The sequence below is a fragment of the Homo sapiens genome, chromosome 5 (assembly GCF_000001405.40).
Source record: "Homo sapiens chromosome 5, GRCh38.p14 Primary Assembly".
Taxonomy (NCBI): domain Eukaryota; kingdom Metazoa; phylum Chordata; class Mammalia; order Primates; family Hominidae; genus Homo; species Homo sapiens.
The window spans coordinates 39,309,852-39,331,619 of record NC_000005.10 but is presented as its reverse complement, the minus strand read 5'-3'; the positions used below and the strand labels follow the sequence as shown (position 1 = coordinate 39,331,619).

The window sequence follows — 21,768 nt, the reverse complement described above, 5'->3', positions numbered from 1 at the left end:
ATAAGTTTAGTACCAAACAATGTGAAAAACTCAGTAGAATAATAATTTCACATGAACACAAGACTTAAAGAAGAGGCGATGTAGTTTGGATCTCTTTAGAAACATACAATTGTGTCTTCTCAATCCTCAGTAACATGCACCTAGTGATAAAGATGTGGCAAATACCTAGACTCCATAAAAAGAATTATCTCAGGATCTAACATAACTAAAAATTAAATCAGTGCTGATTTAAGTAGTGATAACACTGCTTACGTGCTACTTGAGTTTTGCTGTTATTGTTTGCTAGCCTCCTGATGAAAACTCATCTTTGCGTTGGTTTTCCTTCAGCATCCGCCTATGAAGAGCCTGCTTGACTAATGTGAGTGGCTATTTTCACTCACCTTAAACTCCTCTACCTCTTGAAAATGATTTATAAAAATGATTTTTACTCTACACAACACTATTCCAAACTTAGCTATCTTTCTTAAAGTCACCTAATTCTCTAGAACAATGACAGACTGTAGCCCTCCACCATTAAAAGGATTAATATTTATCACCTTTAGAAATTCTTTCTTTGTTCCAAGCAAAATATAATGAAGAATAATAATAAGCTTGCTCTGACCCAGGAGCTACAAGAGTCTGTTTCTTAAAGTGGTCCCATTGGTAAAGAAGAGCCACAAGGTCTGCCTTATTCAGTTATTACAGGGCTCTTATTGTTATCAGTCCCACCAGTTTGAAAAATGTGTATGCTTTTAAATAAGCATTACTTTCTGAAAATATCATAAATCAGTCTCTACATATTGCAGCCAGAAGCAATCATGTTTTCTCATGAATGCTAAAGACTGTCATATCTTGACCATTTGACTGGCATGTTTTTTTTCACATGTAGTCATGTTTCTTATACCTATAAGTCAGAATATGTCAGTTGCCAAAAAATCTGAGGAAATCTTTTGGGCTGTTGGTTTTCCCCAATAATGCCAGGTTAAACTTCTTTAAGCACAGATTTTTGTGATGGAAAGATGACAATTATTTTTAAAAAGTATTACATACATTCTCCTTTCTTAAATAGAAAATACCAAACATGGTCACCTTGGTCATTGCTGATGGGAGAAGGGCTATTGTTGTGTTGATTTAGTTTGTTTGGAGTTTAGTCTGCATTTTACGGTTTTCCTGTCTTCACCACTGTGATCAGCTCTTAGCTTCTCCAGAGGGGTAATAACTTGTACGACATAGAATAGTGACGGCTAGGGGCTGCCCAGGACTGATCTTGAAGCCACGTTTGGAAAGGAAGCACTGCTTTCCCTTATCCATAACCCTGGAAACACATGTGTTTCAGCATTTCAGAATGTTTGGTATTTTAGAAAGGTGATGTGGTGTGATATAAATCACAATGGAGTTTGGAGCAGCATCACATAATCTAACACATCAATATTTCTGTAGCAAAACTAATCTATGTTCATATATGGTGGGAAAAATGAAGACTATAGATACCTTTTACTAGTTCAGGTGAGATTAATACCCCCAAAAGAGTTTGATGTCAAGCTTATTAGAAAGAAGATAGGAATTGTGGACTTGAATATTTATTTGATGCCAACTGGGGCAGTGGGAGTTGAATAGGGGTTGGCTAAGGCCTCCACATCACTCCGTTGCTGCTCCCACTGCTGATAATCCCCTTATTCAAATCTGTTATGGTCTTGGAAAATAAGTAGCCAAACTCATTATTATTATACATAAAAGAACACAAACTTACATGAGGGGAAATATCTACTTTAACTCCTTAGAGATGATTTTTTTCTTTAATTCCTACTACTTAATGAAATATGTCATTTACTTTCTCATGTGTATCAGTAGTACCTGAAGGCAAATTATACATATTATACTTCTTTATAGCTTATTACCAATACCAACTCCATATAATCCTCACCAGTTTTTGTTGGATGAAATAATTTTTTAACTCTTGCCTTAGTTACTTATTGGCAATAATTTATTGGCTTTCATTTTTGACAGAATTATACTGGTCCATCATAACATGGGAATGCACCTAAATAATGACATCTTATTCTCATCCATTCATACTCTCTCATTTAGGGTCTTTTGTCTCTAATGGGCTGTGGTTCTAGAGCCACTCTGCTTAGGTTGAAATCCCACCTCTGCCCCTTAGTGCTGTAAAATCTCAGGCAAATTACTTATCATCATTGTGCCTCAGTTTCTTTATCTATAAAATAGAAATAATAATGCCTACCTCATGGAGATAAATGGGTCTAAATATGTGAAACACTCAGAAAGTCACTGGCATATAGCAAGCCCTCAGTAAATATTAGCTATTATTCATTTTAGAGTATAATTAGTTAAAGACTTAGCCAAAGCTAGGTACATAATTAGTGGTCACACAGCAGGTCAAGACTTACTGACCACTTTATAAATTAGCAGTAATGACCAAGAACAACTGTAGAAGTAAAAAGGGGAGGGGGGAGTGATGATTGCGTTTATAACTTAGGTCCTTTTCTACTTACTTTTCTTTGGTTGTTTCTTCACTTTTGTTGTTGAATAACAATTTGTAAGCCTAAATCAGGTTTCAGGTGTTCATTATAATTCTTCTTAAATCTGAGTCTCCATGAAAATGTAAGATTTGGGAGATGAACAAAAATTTGCAAAATGCACACAGATTATAAGCATAGTTTTCGCCCCAATCCTGCCAAAATCCTGGGTGACTTCAATATCATGTGGACTGCCAAGTATTTCTTGTTGCCTCATAACTTCCTATACCATTTCACTACAGCCACTCTCATTTCTAGCCACCTAACCCTTGGCTTTGTCTTTACCAGAACTTTGCTGTCTCTGAAATTTGAAAATCCAACTTTTAACCCTCTCATCTTATCACAGTTGTCTAACCTCTCAGCTCTCACCCTCATTTATGCCCACAAACCTCTTCTTGGCCTCATCTAGACCTTCAGTCTTTTTGGAATCTTTTTTTCTCCTGGTATATCTTGCTCTTCCTACTTTAAATTATTTTGTTCATCCAAGCTAGATCCATTTTGACTACATTTGCCAATATTAGCAATGTCCTTGTTTCCATTCCTCCTACAATCCAGAAAAACTCTGATTTGGCATGAACCTTATTGTTTTCTGCCCTACTTGTAAACTTACACTGCTGAACACTAAAGAGAATATTATGCTCACACAAAAACAGCTAGCATTATAATTTCAACTGAGTCCTCCACATTGTTCAGTAGGTCTGTAACACCTTCTCAGGCTTTCCTCATTCTCGTTCTTCACATGAGCAGGCTCAATCTTTCAGCAACACCCTCAAGCCTCTTACTCTTACTCACCATTTTGATCCTGGGTTCAGCAGATGACATTAGCTCCAACTTGACAGAGAATACCCAAGTCATAGGCAGGAGCTTTCACAGTTGTTTCTTCAAAGTTATTCTGTGTACTTACTTTGCTACTCAGTCCCTCTTTACATCCTATTCTCTCAGTAGGAAGTTATTCTTTCTCTTCCCTAGCCTGGATCCCACTCCAAGTACATTGCTAGACATTCTGCTAAGCCTCCACTCAACCTTTCCCTCTTTTTCCTTCCACTCTGGCCTTCATATATAAATCTTTTTCAAGGGTCTCATCTATAAAGAAACAAATGAAGAAACCTCTGCCATCTCTATATACCCATGTTGTCTACACTTGCTATCTCAACATATGTGCATTGCATTTATTCCCCACTCTCTGTTATCTTGTGTCTATGCATTTTTCAACCCTCTTCAAGTCTATCTCAAGCTTATTTTGAGCTCCCTTTTGGAGAATCCTTAAATAGTATTGAACTCTTTCCAGAGTTCCTACATTGCTTCACTGATTTCTCTCTATATATTCTTCTTAAGTGATTTCCTTTTCCTCTTCTCCTATGGCTTCAGTTTTCACTCTATTCTGATTGCATGCAAATCCTATATTTCCAGCCCACATCTCTCTCTGAACTAGATGCTTGTATATCCAGTTGTCTGCCATTGTCACAGAGTCAACATACCTACAGCTGATAACCAATCTTACTCCCAATTTCCTGCTTCTTGCTCTTGAATTCTCTGTCTTGGTAAGTGGAAATAATATCAACCTAGTCATCAAACTCAAAACCTGAAATCCCTCCTTAAGACATTCTTTACAGACTCATTTCCCTCAAAACCCACAATATCCAATCAATCTTCAAGTTCTATTATTATAATCTCCTTTAAATCTGTTTCTTATTCCCCATTCCCACTGCCACTGCCTTAAGCTCCCATCACTTCTCATGTAGGAATGACTCAAAATAGTGTTCTTAGTTTACAGCCTCTAGCTTTTCTCAACTTCAATTCATTCCCCACATTTCAGTGTAAAAATAATAAATCTGATCATTCTCCTTGAAGCTTAAATTTGGTGAGTGTCTATCTATAGCCTGCAGTGTAGTAGTCAATCTCCTTGGCAAGGAGTACAAAGTGATCCCTGATCTGATTTTTGATTGCCACTCCACCCTCAGCTTTCTCCTCTGAATCCTCCATCTTCTAAAATGCTTCTCCTACAAATAAATGCAATATGCTTTGATTTTTTCTCTATTTGGTATATATTTTGCTGTATAATACGTGCTTTTTGGTTGCTATCTCACCCTTTTATTTACCACAGAATACTGAAAAACTATATTGTATACTATGCTAGATAAATGCCTATTGAATGAATAAAAAATTCATGCCAGCATATTAACACTGTAAGTTAATATTTCTAATGATGGCAAAAAACAAATATTTAATTGGAATTGCCATTAAAGTTGACAGCAAAATTGCAAGCAGAGGCTTAATACACATTCCAACTATTCTTTCTACTGACAACTTAAGCCCATTTAGAAAATCTAGCAGCAGATAAAGCTTATTACATACCTGGTTATTTGTCCTATGTTGATGTTTCTCAAGTGGAAAATATGTAGTCTTTCCCTATAGAAACTGCTATCTTGAAAGGGACTCTGTTCTACAAATAAACTCATGCATTCAGGGTTGAAGTCATAGGCAGGGGTTAAATCATGAAGGCACTCATGTGCCATAATAAATACACTGAGCATAGTCCTGAGCATAATGAGGGAGCCACTCCGGAGAGCAAAACCCTGAGAGTTTCATTTTAGAACTTTGTGTTTTGTGGAAATAAATTTTAAGGGAACAAGACCAGAGGTAATGAGAACAGAAGGAGGCTATTTTATGGTCCAAGAAGCAGATGACAAAAGGCTAATCTGGGTCTGTAATAGTAGAGATGAAGAAGAAGAGATAAAATCCAGCATATTTAAGAATTAAGAAATTATTAATAAATTGGAGACAGTATAGCATATGATCAATCACAAGGTTCTGAATTAAGATTCTCTGGGTTTAAATTTTGGTAACTTCCTCCACTTACCACCTATGTGAATTTAGGCAACTTAGTTACATTTCCTGGATCTCAATTTCCATGATAAAATCATATGATAATAGTATACACTTCACAGGGTTTCAGAAAGATTAAATGTGTTAATAACTGTGAAGTGATTAGAATAGTGCCTATCACAAACTAAATTTTCTATAGATGGACCCTATAAAAATGGAAAGAAAAAAAACCCCACACAAACAACCAGTGAATTATAGGCCATCAAAAGAGATGTGGGAAGTTGGATGTGCAGGAAATCTACCAAAGAAGGAGTGGGTTCTAAGAAGATAATGATTCGAATGCTGGTAATTTTGAGTTTGAGGGTCTATATGAAATTAGATGGAGTTATCCTACAACAAGGAGATTATTTGAATCAAAATGGAGAGAATGATCTAAATTGTAAAAAGAGATCTAGGTGTTAATTAACATACACATGATCATTGCATCTTTTTTTTTTTTTTTTTTTGAGATGGAGTCTCGCTCTGTTGCCCAGGCTGGAGTGCAGTGGCGCAATCTCAGCTCACTGCAATCACTGCCTCCAGGGTTTAAACGATTCTCCTGCCTCAGCCTCCTGAGTAGCTGGGATTTGAGGCGTGCGCCACCGTGCTCAGCTAATTTTTGTATTTTAGTAGAGATGGGATTTCACCATGTTGGTCAGGCTGGTCTCTAACTCCTGACATCATGATCCGCCTGCCTCGGCCTCCCAAAGTGCTAGGATTACAGGCGTGAGCAACCGCGCCTGGCGATCATTGCATTCTTGAGGGTGCCTGAGATTACCAAAGAAGTGTACAATGAGGGAGAAGAGAAGAACATAGAGACTGAAGTCCTAGAGCACACAAACGTTTAAGATTTAGGCACAGAAAAAATATTCTATAGATAATAGAGATGGATTGTACTTGTTATCCTTTACTGTCATATTACCCCAAAACTTAATGGCTAAAGGGTTAAGAATGTGACAGTAGCTTGGCTAGATGGTTCTGGCAGAGGGGTGCCTCAAAAGGTTACAATGAATCTGTTGTTCATAGGTTTCTTCTCTCAATTAGTGAGAGATGGCTTTGATAATAATAACTAATATGTGGTTTATGGTTTTATTATCCATTTGTACAAATAAAATTTTAATGACATCTTCAACAGTTTTCTCTACTTACTCTCTATTTACAACTGCTCTCCAAACCTCCACAACTTGAACTCTGAAATATTTCTTGATCGTGTCTATCTCTTCCATTTTTAGTGCCATAAGCAATGTTTATTTCTTTTCAAGGAGTATTATATGAACAAATTCTTAAACAGGATAACTTCAACTGACCCTTATAATATGTCTGGCCTCCTAGAACATGCAAGCCCCTTGATCTTCTCTCTCTGAATCTAGCTTCTCCAACATCTGTTTATTCAGTACTCATAAAGAAACTTGCTTCCATCTTTGTGTTTTTCTGCTTTCTGTAATCTTGCCCCTTGGTCTCTCGTCCAAGACTTTTGCTTTTCTCTCTATGATGGTTACAAGTATTGGTCTATTTCTGAATGCTTAACATTGAGCCTAGACTTCTTTTCGCATGGATGGATTTTTCCATTTCCCAATTCAGCTTTCATTCCTATGCTTTCTGGGATGACTCCATCCTCAGAGTTTCAGGCTGTACTCGCCACTACCATTCTGGCATAGTGAGAAAAGCTACCTTTTCTTGAGCCATTCAACAACATCCTAATTGATACCCTGACCAACAATCTGTTATATCTGAAAGTGGCCCTCTACGCTGCTGAGTTGATAATTGCCTTATGCCATTTCCTTTCTAGTCATTTCACATACAAGTGCAGGTGCCTACAAATTACACCCCCTCTATCAGAAAGCATGGTGCCACCAGTATTGTTCTTTTTTCTCAAGATTGCTTTGGCCATTCGAGATTTTCTGTGGTTCCATACAAAATTTAGGATTGTTCTTTTTATTTCTGTGGAAAATGACATAAAATTATGATAGGGATTGCATTGAGTCTGCAGATCATATTGGGCAGTGTTGCTATTTTAACAATATTAATTCTTCCAATCCATGAATATTGGATATCTTTCCATTGATTTGTATATTTTCCATTTCTTTCATCAATGTTTTATGAATTTCATCATACAGCTCTTTCACCTCCTTGGTTAAATTTATTCCTAAGTGTTTTATTCTTTTTAATTCTGTAGTAAATGGTATTTTTAAAAGTTTCTTTTTTAGATGGTTTGTAGCTAGTGAGTAGAAATGCAACAGACTTTTGCATGTTGATTTTGTATCCTGCAACTTTACTGAATTTGTTAGTTCTAACATTTTTTGTCTTGTTTTGTTTTTTGGGTGGTGTCTTTAGGGTTTTTTACATAAAAGAATATCATCTGCAGACAATTTTACTTCTTCCTTTCTGAGTTAAATGCCTTTTATCTCTTTCTTTTGCATAATTGCTCTAAGACTTCTAGTACTATTTTGAACAGAGATACAATGGGCATCCTTGTCTTGTTCCTGACGTCTGATAAAAAGTTTCAGTTTTAACCACTGAGTATAATGGTCAATGTGGGCTTGTTGTATATGGCCTTTATTATGTCGAGATACATTCCTTCTATACCTAATTTGTTGAGAGTTTTTCTAATCTTTAAATGACGTTGAATTTTATTGACTGCTTTTTCTACATCTATTGAGATGATCATATAATTTTTATCCTTCATTCCATTAATGTGGTGTATCACAATTATTGATTTGCATATGTTAAACTATCTTTGCATCCTAGATATAAATCTCACTTGATCATTGTGTATGATCATTTTAATATATTTCTGAATTTAGTTTGTTTATATTTTATTGAAGATATATATACATATATGTTCATCAGGGATATTGGCTTGTAATTTTCTTTTCTTGCAGTGTTCTTGTCTGGCTTTGATATCAGGGTAATGCTGGTCTTATAAAATGAATTTGGAAATATTCCCTCTTCTTCAATTCTTTGGAATATTTTAAGAAAGTCTAGGATTAGTTCTTCTTTAAATATCTGGTAGACTTCATCACTGATGCCTTCAGATTCTGGGCTTTTCTTTCATGGGAGACTTTTTGTAGTACTGATTCAATCTTTTTAATCATTATTGGTCTGCATTTTCTATTTCTTCATAATTCAGTCTTGATAGATTGTATGTTTCTAGGAATGTATCCATCTCTTCCAGGTTATTCAATTTCTTTGTGCATAATTTTTCACAGTAATATCTTATGTTTATTTATATTTCTGTGGTATCAGTTGTACAGCTGTCCCTCAGTATCTATGAGGAATTGGTCCCAGGACCACTCACAAATAGCTAAATCCTTAGATGCTCATATAACATGGTGTGGTATTTGCATATACCCTATGCTCAGCCTCCAGTATAATTTAAATCATCTCTAGATTACTTAGAATACCTAAGTGATGTAAGTGCTATTTATATAGTTGTTATACTGTAATGTTTAGAAGATAATGACAAGGGAAATAGTTTGTACATGTTCAGTACAAATGCAACCATTGCAGGCCCAACTACATTTGTGATCCAATGATGGTTGAATCCACGGATGCAAAACCTGCAGATATGAAGAGCCAACAGTAATGTCTCCTCTTTCATTTCTGATTTTATTTGAGTTTTCTCATTTCTTCCTGAGTTAGCCTAGCTAAAGGTTTGTTCATTTTGTTTCTTTTTTAAAAAACAAACTCTTGGTTTTGTTGGCCTTTTCTGTTGTTTTTCTACTACCTATTTTATTTATTTCTGCTCTGATCTTTATTATTCTCTTACTTCAATTGACTTTAGTTTAGTAAGCTTAGTTTGCCCTTCAGTTTTTAGTTCCTTAAGATGTAACAATAGATTATTTGAGAAATTCTTTTTTGATGTAAGCATTTATTACTGTAAACTTTTCTGTTAGAACTGCTTATGCTGCATTCCATAAGTTCTGGAATGTTTTCATTTTTATTTATTTTAAGATATTTTTAAACTTTTAATCTCTTCATTGACTTATTTATTGTTCAGGAACATGTTAATTTTTCCATATTTGTGAATTTCCCAAAATTTCTCCTGTTATTGATTTCTAGCTTCATACCATTGTGATCAAAAGAGATCCTTAATATTATTTTAATATTCTTAAAATGTTTAAGACTTGTTTTATGGCCTAATATACGATCTGTCCACGAGAATGTTCCATGTGTGCTTGATAAAAACATGTATTATGTTACTTTGGATGGAATGTTCTGTGTATATTTGTTAGGTCCATTTGGACTAAAGAGTAGTTCAGTTCCAATGTTTCCTTAATAATTTTCTCTCCAGATGACCTGCCTATTGTTGAACGTGGAGTATTAAGAAGTCCCCTACTATTTTATTGCAGTTTGTCTCTCCTTTCAGATCTATTAACATTTACTTTATACATTTAGGTGCTCTGATGTTGGGTGTCTAGAAATTTAAATATCCTCTGACAAAATTGACCCCTTCATTATTATATAGTGATTTTCTTTGTCCCTTCTTGCAGTTTTTAACAAGTCAAAATTTTATCTGGTATGTTTAGCTATCCCTGCTCTATTTTGGCACTTAAAGGTGAAGTGAGTCTCATAGGCAGCATATATAATAGTTGGGACCTGCTTTTTAATCCATTTAGCTACTCTGCATCTCTTGATTGAGTACATTTAAGATAATTATCGGTAGGTAAGGACTTACCACTGCCATTTTTTTCATTGTTTTCTGGTTGTTTTGTATGTTCTTTCTGGCTATTTCTTTCTCTCTTGCTATCTTCCTTTGTGATTAGATAATTTTCTGTACTGATATGCTTTAATTCTTTGCTTTTATGTTTTCTGTGTCTATTATAGGTGTTTGCTTTGTGGTTTTCATGAGTTACCATGCAGCTTACATAAAATATCTATAGTTATAATAGGCTATTTTAAACTGTTAGCAACATAAATTCAATCACATTTTTAAAACTTCTACACTTTTCCTCCCCACATTTTGTTTTTGATGTCACAATTAACATCTTTTTATATTGTGTATTCCTTAACTATTATAGCTATTATTATATCTAATAGTGTGGTCTTTTAATTTTCATACTACAGATATACTTGATTTGTACATCATCAATATGGTGTGAGAGTATTCTGAATTTGACTATGTACTTAATTTTACCAGTGAATTTTATAATTTCATAAATTTTTTATGTTATGAATTATCATTCTTTTCTTTCAACTTGAAGAACTCCCTTTAGCATTTCTTATAGGAAGGTCTAGAGGTAATGAACTTCCACAGCTTTTGTGTCTCTGGGAAATTTTTTATTCCTTCATCATTTATGAAGGTCAGAATTGCCAAGTATACTATTCTTGATTGGCAGTTTATTTTTCTTTCAATACTCTTGAATATATCATCTCACTCTCTCCTGGATTCAAGGCTTTTGCTGAAACATCTGCTAGTAATCTTATGTGAGCTCCCTCATATGTGACGAGTTGTTCTTCTCTTGTTTTCAAAATTCTCCTTATTGTATGACTTTTGAGTTTGATTATAATATGTCTAAGTGAAGATCTCTTCATATATAGTCTATTTGGGGTTCTTTGGGATTCATGGACCTGGGTGCTCCTTTTTTTTCTCCACATTGGGGAAACTTGCTGTCATTATTTCTTTAAATAAGTTTTCTACACTTTTGTGTTTCTCTCTTCCTTCTGGGGCACCATAATACATATACTGGTTCACTTGATGGTGCCCCATAGTTCCCACAGGACTTCTTCACTATTTCTTTTTTATTTTTTGTTTTTCTGATTGGTAATTTCAAATGAACTGTCTTTGAGCTCATGATTCTTTCTTCTGTGTGATAGAATCTGCTATTGAATCTCACTATGAAATTTTTCAGCTCTGTTCTTTAACTCCCTAATTATGTTCTTTAACTCCCTAAATTTGGTTGTTTGTGTTTTTTTATGCTTTCTTTCTCTCTATTGAACTTCTAATTTTGTTCATGTATTTTTTTCCTGATTTCATCTAGTCTTCTGTCTGTATTCTCATGTAGCTCACTGAGCTTCTTTAAGCTGATTATTTTGAATTCATTATCAGGCAGTTTGTAAATTTCCACTTCTTTAGGGTCAGTTACCAGTGCTTTATTTTGTTCCTTTGGTGATGCCATGTTTCCCTGATTATGTGTGATCTTTGTGACCATGCATATCTATGCCTTTGAAGAAGTAAGCACTTATTCCATTCCTTAAAGACTAACTGCAGCAGGGATAACCCTTCATTAATCAGTGTGTCCAGAGATTCTGGGCAAGTCATCTGGCATGGTCCACAAGCAGGCTTGATGCTGGAGTCCTTGGGTAGACGTGATTGGTTCCTTGGTTCACTGGGGAAGGCCTGGAGCTTGGGTCTGCTGGAATGAGCCTGGTGCCTGTATCCATAGAGGTCAACCTAGCACTGGAGTCTACAGAAGTGGGCCTGGATCCTGGGTCCAGTGGGTCCACTGGATCTTGAGGCTGTAAGGACCATCCTGGAGGCTGAACTCATGAAGGCTGGCCTGGAGCCTGGGGCCAATAGGGCTGGCTTTGCACTGGGATGGCCCTAGAGGCTGGATCCCTGGTCTCGCGCCTGATTTTGGGATTTGCAGTGGCCATTCTGGCACTGGGTGAAACTGGAGCCTGAGTCTGTAGTGACCAGCCTTTGAGACTGAGTCCCAGGTGCTGGCCTGGTGCTTGAGGTCATGGAAGCTGGCCTGAAGCTGAGGTGTACGGGTGCTGACCTGGCATTGGGTTATAGCTGGAGTCTTAGTCTGCAAGTAAAATCCTGAGTCTAGGGCTACAGAGACCAGCCTCATTCTGGGCCTGTCTAAAGCCTGAGTTGAGGCTGGAAACTTTGTCTGTGAAACTGGCCTCGGGCCTGAGGCCATGGAGGCTGGCCTGGCACTGGTTAAGCCTGGACCCTATATCTATAGGGTGCTGGGATGTAACTAGAGTCAAAGGCTGAAGTTTTATTTAATAAGTAATTATAAAAGAAGTGGTTTTCATTTTATTTTGTTTTAAAAGAGGAGCCAGAAAAGCTTGTAGCAAAAATATTTGTTAGTCTGTTATATCAGGAGGGGCTTTCCTAAAGAAGTGATGTTTCAGGTAAGACTTGAAATAGGAGTGGGAATTAATCAACCTGAGGCCTATGTTTTGTGTGTATGTGTGAAAGGGAGTGTGTGTGATGTCTGTGCTATGGGAGGGTTGGGGGGAAAGAGTAAGAGAACATTCTAGAAAGAAAAAGCAGCATAAAAGGGACTTATGGTAAGAACAGCATGGGTTGTGGAACAGCTGGATGGCTGACACACAGTTAGGGAGAGATTGACTAGAAATAAATCTAGTTTAGACTATATTAAAGTCATTAGAAATACATTAGAAAGATCTAAGTAGGGAAGTGGCAATGGTTAGTTTGCTTTTCCCTGTTATGCTAGGCAGTTTCTTCAACATGTCTTGTTTTAAAGATAACTATATACATTTCAGTCTTTTCATGAGACAGTAATAACTTTAGGTTTCTCATGCAGAACAACCACTCAATACTAAATCCAGTCCATGACACTGTCTGAAGATACAGGTGTCCCCTTCCCAGACAAGAGTTATACCTAATTCAGAAGATTTCTGAAAAGGGAACTGAACCACTTATATAACAAGTCTCTCACTGACAACAACCTGACAATAGCCAAGTTGGCAAAAAAAAAAAAAAGTTCTAATTGAAATTTTAGTGTTGAAGGAATATACCTCAAAATAGTAAGAGCTATATATGAAAAACCCACAGCCAATATCACCCTGAATGGGCAAAAGTTGGAAGCATTCTCCTTGAAAACCAGCACAAGACAAGGATGCTCTCTCTGATGACTCCTATTCAACATAGTATTGGAAATTCTGGCCAGTGCAATCAGGCAGGGGAAAGAAATAAAGGGTATTCAAATACGAAGAGAGAAAGTCAAATTATCTTTGTTTGCAGATGACCAGATGACATGATCCTATATTTAGAAAACCCCGTTGTCTCAGCCCAGAGGCTTCTTAAGCTTATAAGCTACTTCAGCAAAGTCTCAGGATGCAAAATTAATGGGCAAAAATTGCTACCATTCCTATATACCAACAACAGGCAAGCAGAGAACCAAATCATAAATTAACTCCCATTCACGATTGCTAAAAAAAAAACCCATAAAATACCTAGGAATACAGCTAACAAAGCAAGTGAAGGACCTCTTCAAGAACTACAAACTACTGCTCAAGGAAATCAGAGAGGACATAAGCAAATGGAAAAACATTTCATGCTCACAGACAGGAAGAATCAATATTGTGAAAATGGCCATACTGCCCAAAGTAATTTATAGATTCAATGCTATTACCATTAAACTACCACTGACATTGTTCATGGAATTAGAAAAAAAAAAACCATTTTAAAATTCATGTGGAAACAAAAAAGAGCCTATATAGCCAAGATAATTCTAAGCAAAAAGAACAGAGCTGGAGGTGTCACACTGCCTGACTTCGAACTATAGTACAAGGCTACGGTAATCAAAATAGCATGGTACTGGTGCAAAAACAGACACATAGACCAATGGAACACAATAGAGAACTCAGAAATAAGACTGCACACCTACAACCATCTAATCTTCAACAACTCTGACCAAAACAAGCAATGGGAAAAGGATTCCCTATTTAATAAATAGTGCTGGGAGAACTGGCTAGCCATATGCAGACAATTGAAACTGGACCCCTTCGTTACATGTTATACAAAAATTAACTCAAGATGGACTAAAGACTTATATGTAAAACCAAAAGCTATAGAAATCCTAGAAGAAAATCTGGGCAATACCATTCAGGACACAGGCATGGGCAAAGATTTCATAAAATGCCAAAGCAATTGCAACAAAAACAAAAATTGACAAACGGGATCCAGTTAAACTAAAGAGCTTCTGCACGGCAAAAGAAACTAACATCAGAGTGAACAGGCAACCTATATAATAGGTGAAAATTTTTGCAATCTATCCATCTGACAAAGATCCAATATCCAGAGTCTATGAGGAACTTAAACAAATTTACAGGAAAAAAACAAACGACCCCATTAAAAAGTGGGCAAAGGATATGAACAGACACTTCTCAAAAGAAGACATTCATGTGGCCAACAAACATATGAAAAAAAGCTTAACATCACTGATCATTAGAGAAATGCAAATCAAAACCACAATGAGATACCATCTCAAACCAGTCAGAATGACAATTATTAAAAAGTCAAAAACAACAGATGTTGGCAAGGTTATAGAGGAAAAGGAACGCTTTTACAGTGTTGGTGGGTGTGTAAATTGGTTCAACTATTGTGGAAGACAGTGTGCCAATTCTTCAAAGATCTAGAAGCAGAAATACCATTTGATCCAGCAATCCCAATACTGAGTATATATCCAAAAGAATAGAAATCATTCTATTATAAAGATACATGCATGCATATGTTCATTGCAGCACTATCCACAATAGCAAAGACTTGGAATCAACCCAAACGCCCATCAATGATAGAGTGGATAAAGAAAATGTGGTACATATACACCATGGAATACTATGCAGCCATAAAAAGGAACAAGATCACGTCCTTTGCAGGGACTTGGATGGAGCTGGAAGCCATTATCATCAGCACATTAACATAGGAACAGAAAACCAAACACCTCATGTTCTCACTTGTAAGTGGGAGCTGAATGATCAGAACACATGGACACGTTAGGGAAAAAACACTCACTGGGGCCTGTTGGGGGTAGGGGTGACAGAGCATCAGGAGGAATAGCTAATGGATGTTGGGCTTAATACCTGGGTGATGGGTTGATCTGTGCAGCAAACCACCATAGCACATGTTTACCTATGTAGCAAACCTGCACATCCTGCACATGTACCCCAGAACTTAAAGTAAGTTGAAAAAAAAGTTTGCTATACTATAAGTCCTTCGTATGCATTATCTCACTGAATTTTTATAAGAACCTTTGTGCTAGGTATGATGAATATCCCTGTTTTATAGACTAAGAATCATACTAAGCACATAGAGATTATTGCATAATCACTTCAAAGTGACAGAGTCTGTATTTGAACCCCAGGAATCTGACTCCATCACTTTTGCTCTTAACTCCTTTGTTCTACTGCCTTTCAAAGAATTGTTTGACTTCTCTTTGGTTCTGTTCTGCTTGTTTTTCCTTTTGTTTCGTATCTTGTTTTTAACAACACTTTTTTATTCTCTTTTAGACCAAAGGCGAGAAAAATTTCAGAACCGAACATTACGAAGAACAAATTGAAGCATTTAAAAGTATCATCCAAGAGAAGACATCAAATTTTAATGCAGCTATATCTCTAAAATTTACACCCACTGAAACAAATAAAGCTGAACAATGTTGTGAGGAAACAGCCTCCTCAATTTCTTTACATGGCAAGGGTAGTTTTCGGTTTTCATATTCCAAAAATGAAACTTACCAACTATTTTTGTCATATTCTTCAAAGAAGGTAAGACAAAACAGTTAATATAGGAATATAGAAAGGTTCCAAACTACCCAGACTCTTTAAGTATTTTGAGCAAATAGAAATCATAAAAAGGAAAAGAAACATGGATCAAATTCTCAAATATGTAGCTAGCACGTCAGAAAGAATACTAACTGGAGAAAAGTCTGATAGAATCTTTGGCAGTGGTAAATGAATAATATGTTTGGTGGTAGTGAGCAGAAAATGCGTATTAAGAATTTAGAGCATTTTTTGACTGAGATTGTGGTAATATACCATTCAATTTATATGATCATCAGAATTTTAATGAAGAATTATACTGAAGAATTCTGGTAATTCATTGCAATGCCTTACCTAGAATGATCACTGTTTATTAACTACAAACTGTGTCTCTAAAGAAATGATGCTATGAAATTATACACATGCACATAAAATTGGTCTGATTATTTTGTAATCATACGTTTGAGACTTTGAAAATGTGATTTTTAAAATATTTGAACCAGATTTTGAAGTTTGTTCTACCACTCTTGGAATAAATATAAAATATACTCTCTGTAATCAGCATGACGCCAGTAAAATGCTCATTCTTCCTTTTCTGATACCACAGTCACTTATTTAGACAAGCTTCTCCCACATTAACAATAATAATTCACTCTTAGTACTTATATGATGCCTAACTATGTAATTGTTTTGTATGGGTCTGTACATTACCTCTCTATTTACATGCATACCCACTCAAGTGTACAGGTGGAAAATTCTTTAAATCATTCAACAAATATTTAATTGTGACCTATCTGGCCTAGGTACTTAGAATATATTTGTGAACCAAGCTGATGAAAATTTGTGTCCTCATGGAGTTGAAAACTCCACAGAAAGAGACAGCCAAAAATAATACATATAATAGCAAAAAAGAAGTAATATGGTATTTAGAAAGTATTAAGTTCTGTGGGATACAAGGAAAATTAGAGTAACATGAAGGAAAGCAGGGATGCCTGTAGGTGGCATGATTAAAAAGGAAGCTCAGGCTTAGCTTCATGGAGATGAGAAGTAACCAAAGCTTTGGAGGAGAGGAGATAGCCAAAGAGTAAGATTTCAGATTATTTATCTGACGGAAGGAACTGTTAGAGAAGTCTCTAATGTAGGAAAAACCTGGTGTGATAAAAGTTAGTCAAATTGAATCAGAAGGATAAAAAGTTAGAAAAGTTACCTTGAATCAGATCATGAAGAACTTAAAAGTCCACTCAGTGTGGCTTTTTTTCTGAGTGACATGGGAGGTCACTTGAGGGTTTTTAATTTTAATTTAATTTAATTTAATTTAATTTATTTATTTTGAGATAGATTTTTGCTCTTGTTGCCCAGGCTGCAGTACAATGGTGTGATCTTGGCCCACCACAACTTCCGCCTCCCAGGTACAAGCAATTCTCCTGCCTCAGCCTCCCGAGTAGCTGGGATTACAGGCATGCACCACCACGCCTGGCTAATTTTGTATTTTTAGTAGAAATGGGGTTTCTCCATGTTTGTCAGGCTGGTCTCGAACTACCAACCTCAGGTGATCCACCCGTCTCGGCCTCCCAAAGTGCTGGGATTACAGGTGTGAGCCACCGCGCCCAGCCTACTTGAGGGTTTTTAATAGAAGATTGACATTCTCTATTATATTTTAAATGATTACTCAAGGTATTTTGTCAAGAAGAGATCATAGGTGCTAAGAGCCAAAGCAAGGAGTCTTGCTAAAAATTACTGAAGGAATCCAGGTGAGACATGATGGTAGTTCAGATAGGACAATTATAGAGTCAAACATAAGTCCAAGGTTTTTGGCCTGAGCAACTAGAAAAATGGAGTTGCTGATGGAGAAAGCTTCAGATAGAGCAGATTTGGAGAGGGAGACCAGTAATTAAATTTTAGTTAGGTTAAGTTTGAGGTGTTTATTAGACATCCAATTGACAATGCCAAGTAGGAGTTGGTGTTTTGAGGCTGGAGTTTGGGAAAAAGACCTGGAATTGAGCTATACATTGACTTGTTGACTTCGTCATGGGGTCACTAACAGAGTTAGTGTACATAGAAAATAGAATACAATCAAATACCAAACTTCCTGAATTTCAATAGAAAACAAGTAAAAGAAACCAAAAAGTGCCCAAGAACTTTGCTACTTAGAGTGTGGTCTATGGAACAGCAGCATCAGCATCGCTGGGAGGCTAGAATCTTAGACTGTGCTCCAGAATTGCATTTTACCTGACTCAGTGTTGCATTTTAACAAGATTCTCTAGGTGGTTTGTTCACATTTTATAGTTTGAGAAGCACTGGCCTAGAAGACAAGAAAATAATCTCTATTAAGAAGAAGAGAGTGATGAACTGTGTCAATTGTGCTAACATGTCAAAGAAGATGAGGGCTAAGAAGATGAGGGCTAAGAAGTGATCATAGGCTTTAGGATTATGAAAGTCATTGGAGACCTTGATAAGAGACATTTTGTTGGAGTAGTGAGGTCAGAAGCATGAATAATTTAGATTTAAGAAAAACAGGGAAGGGGAGAATTCAAAATATACAGTATAGAAAACTGAATAAATTTTGCTTCTAGTGAGGGCAAAGAAATGGGTAGTGGCTGGTCAGGCAAGCGAGGCCAAGGGAAACTTTTTGTTGCTTTAAGATAGAAGAAACAACTGCATATTTGGATGATAATGAGCTAAGAGCTACCTTTGAAGTAAATTGACCCAAAGAACATCACATGTCTTTCTTACCCCAAATCCCAAGATATACCTCCCAGTTTTAGCAAAACTGAAAAGAAATCCAAATATGCTTTGAATAAGGCATATTTGAGAATTCTTGTGCAAGTCAGGAGATGAAGAGCTCATATGACCTATAACATACAGGCTAAGATTTTTATTAAAGACTGGATCACCCACTGTCACCTAAAGTTAAATCATGATGACAACAATGTGCTTTAAGAAGACAGACAGTTTGGTATGATATTCATATACTGCAAGATATACCTTTAAAAAGAAATAAAATATTTTAAACTCCCACATAATCATCATATGTTAACCACAGCTGTTAGGAGACCCTCAAAAGATCCATTTGCAAAATTGTGGGTGTCAATTGTAGTTTAGTTTTCATCAGGACAAGCTATGGCATTGAATCACACAGTTCACTGCCCTAGTTTTCTCCGGGAAAGGTAAGCCATCAGCCCTGGCCCTGGAAACATTTAACTGTTGAGTTGCTTAGGCTGACTTGAGTTCCACGTCTCAAAATATTGTCTGTCCTGTCTCTGTCATTAAAAATTGAGAGGGTGGACTGAAAGGGACAAGGAGACCTGAGATCTAGGTTTTTAGTACCAATGCTGTCAAGTATTATTCATATGTTTTGGGACAAATAACTTGATATCTTTAAATTAGTTTTCTCATCTGCATAATAGCAAGATTGGGCTTTATTGATAATGTCTCCATTTCCTTCCACTGTTGTTTTTAAAACAACTTAGTGAGGTATAATTTCATAAAATAAAATGCAAAGATTTTAAGTGTATAGTTTCATGAGTTTTGATAATTATGTACATTAGAGTAGCCATCTCCTTTAGCAAGAGAATATTTTAAATGTTTTAACATAGAAGACACAGCAGCATATTTAGATGGAAATTATTTAAGATCTATGTTTAAAATACATTGAGTTAAAGAACATCACACCAAGAAAATTCCATCATGAAGAGACACTCAGGCTTCTTACCCCAAGAAAAATTCCTTATGCCCTTTTCCGTTCCCTACCACCTAAGAGGTGACCACTGACCAGATTTATCTGACCACAGCTTAGTTTTGCCTAGTCTAGAACTTCATATAAATGGAATTATATAGGATATACTCCTCTATGTCTGACTTCTTTTACTCAGTATAATATTTTTGAGATTTATTTATGTTGTTACATGTATCAGTAGTTTTATTTTCCTTTTTATTGATGATTAGTATTCCATTGTATTAATATGCTATGGTTGTTTATTGATTTCTCTCTTGATGGACATTTGAGATGTTTTCAATTTTAAGCTATTCTGACTAATGCTGCCATGAAATTCTTATACAGATACTTTTGTGAACAAAATTTTTATTAGGTAAATATGTAGGAGTGGAATTGCTGGCTGGTCATAAGCAAATGTGTGCTTAACACTATGGGAAAGTGCCACACAGTTCTTCAAAGTGGCTGTCTAATTTTACCAGTAATGTAGGAGAGTTTTAGTCACTGCACATTCTCATCAGTAGTTGGTGTTGATAGTATTTTACATTTAGCCCTTCTGGTGGATTAGAGTGGTATCTCATGGTCACTGCTAAAACATTTAGTGCCTATGGAAGTTCTAAATTTCATAAATTTTCATTTGAAATGGTGGATAAAACACATGTTTCTCTTCTTCATCTGCTCTACAACACAGGAAAAAATGTTTCTGCATGTGAAAGGAGAAATTCATCTGGGAAGATTTGTAATGAGAAATCGCGATGTTGTGCTCACAACAACTTTTGTGGATGATATAAAAGCTTTGCCAACTACCTATGAAAAGGGAGAATATTTTGCCTTTTTGGAAACCTATGGAACTCACTACAGTAGCTCTGGGTCTCTAGGAGGACTCTATGAACTAATATATGTTTTGGATAAAGCTTCCATGAAGCGGAAAGGTATGCCTAGAAATAGAGCTCTGACTTCAAATACTGTTTTGACCAAACATTATTTTGTTCACCAACCTGTTTCAATGGTTAAAGTCTTAAGAATACAAAGCCCTGTAACCTGCTCCTTTGAGAGGACTCTCTTCCTGCCCTTTGGCACCTAAAACCCTGTTAAATAGCAAATTGACTTCCATCTCAAACAAGCTGACTTGGTCATACTCTACTCAACAGTAGCACTGAGAGATGGATCCATTGTATTGCAGCTTCACATCTATTAGAAGGTGGTACTTTTAGTGAAATACTAAACAAAAGGTGAAAGAAAGTACAGACATAATTTGTATAACCTACTTCTTAATCAATAGACTAGTTCAATTTCTATATCACAGTTATCTTCCAGAGTATACTTCAATATTGGAGGGAAAATATTGTTCTAAATTTTCTTTTAGAGGGAAAAGAAGAAGCAGTGTTATCATATAAATCTAACATCTTAAAGCAAGGGTGGAAAATTAGTTTTACCTCATGTGATGACACTTCTCATTATATGGTGGTGGTTGAATTGGGCTCATGTTAAGTAGGTTTCTGGTCATGGGGAAATCATGGGGAAAAGGGCCATGGTTAATTATCAATGTCTGTCATGGGTAGAAGATAGGCCTACTGATACATAGTTATCAGCCTGGCCTAAAGGGTTCGTCTAAGTCTTTTAAGAAAAAAGTAAATGCAAAGTGACTATATTAATAAGTTGTAATCATTCATGTTGTGAGTAATTATGGCTAGTTATAATATTCCTTAAGGAGGTGATGGATGCCAGGATGCTTCCTCTCTGCCCTTGTAACTATAGGTGTGTCTCTTAGGGAGGAAAGCGTTGCTAAAAACCACTTTAATGGCTTTTACGGGGTCAGTGTCAAGGTATCAGGTGTTAAGTGAAGGGTGGAATGTAACTGTGACGTAAAAGCCTGATATTCTCCCCAAGGTCAGCAAATACTTTATGGATAACAAAACATGACATAGCCAGAACCAGCTGGTCTTGATGCCTCAGTCTTGTTTTGGGCAGAGAGAAGCTTTCCCGGGGGGGAGTGGAATGTAATGTTACTTAGCTTACACTTTCACAGGGCTATATCCACAGCATAGTGAAGTTGCTGTGAGCTCCACCTGGAAGCTATATTGATGGAGATATCACGTAAGGGAAGGGTACAAGAGGACACAGGTCTTGAGTAACTTGAAAATGAGAAGAGAAAGGCTTATGAGTGGTGATCAAAACACAAAGAAATCTTCAGACTAGGAGTTGTTTTGATGAAAA

General features: G+C 36.3%; 1 protein-coding gene across 1 annotated transcript in view; it reads left to right on the top strand.

The window, feature by feature from the left end:
• Positions 1 to 21,768, top strand: part of C9 (complement C9) — an 80,356-nt gene that overhangs the window by 32,876 nt on the left and 25,712 nt on the right. Inside the window, exons 6-7 of the mRNA NM_001737.5 lie at positions 15,591 to 15,845; positions 20,243 to 20,483. Of these exons, the coding sequence (NP_001728.1) occupies positions 15,591 to 15,845; positions 20,243 to 20,483 (496 nt within the window). The remainder of the gene's footprint in view (positions 1 to 15,590; positions 15,846 to 20,242; positions 20,484 to 21,768) is intronic.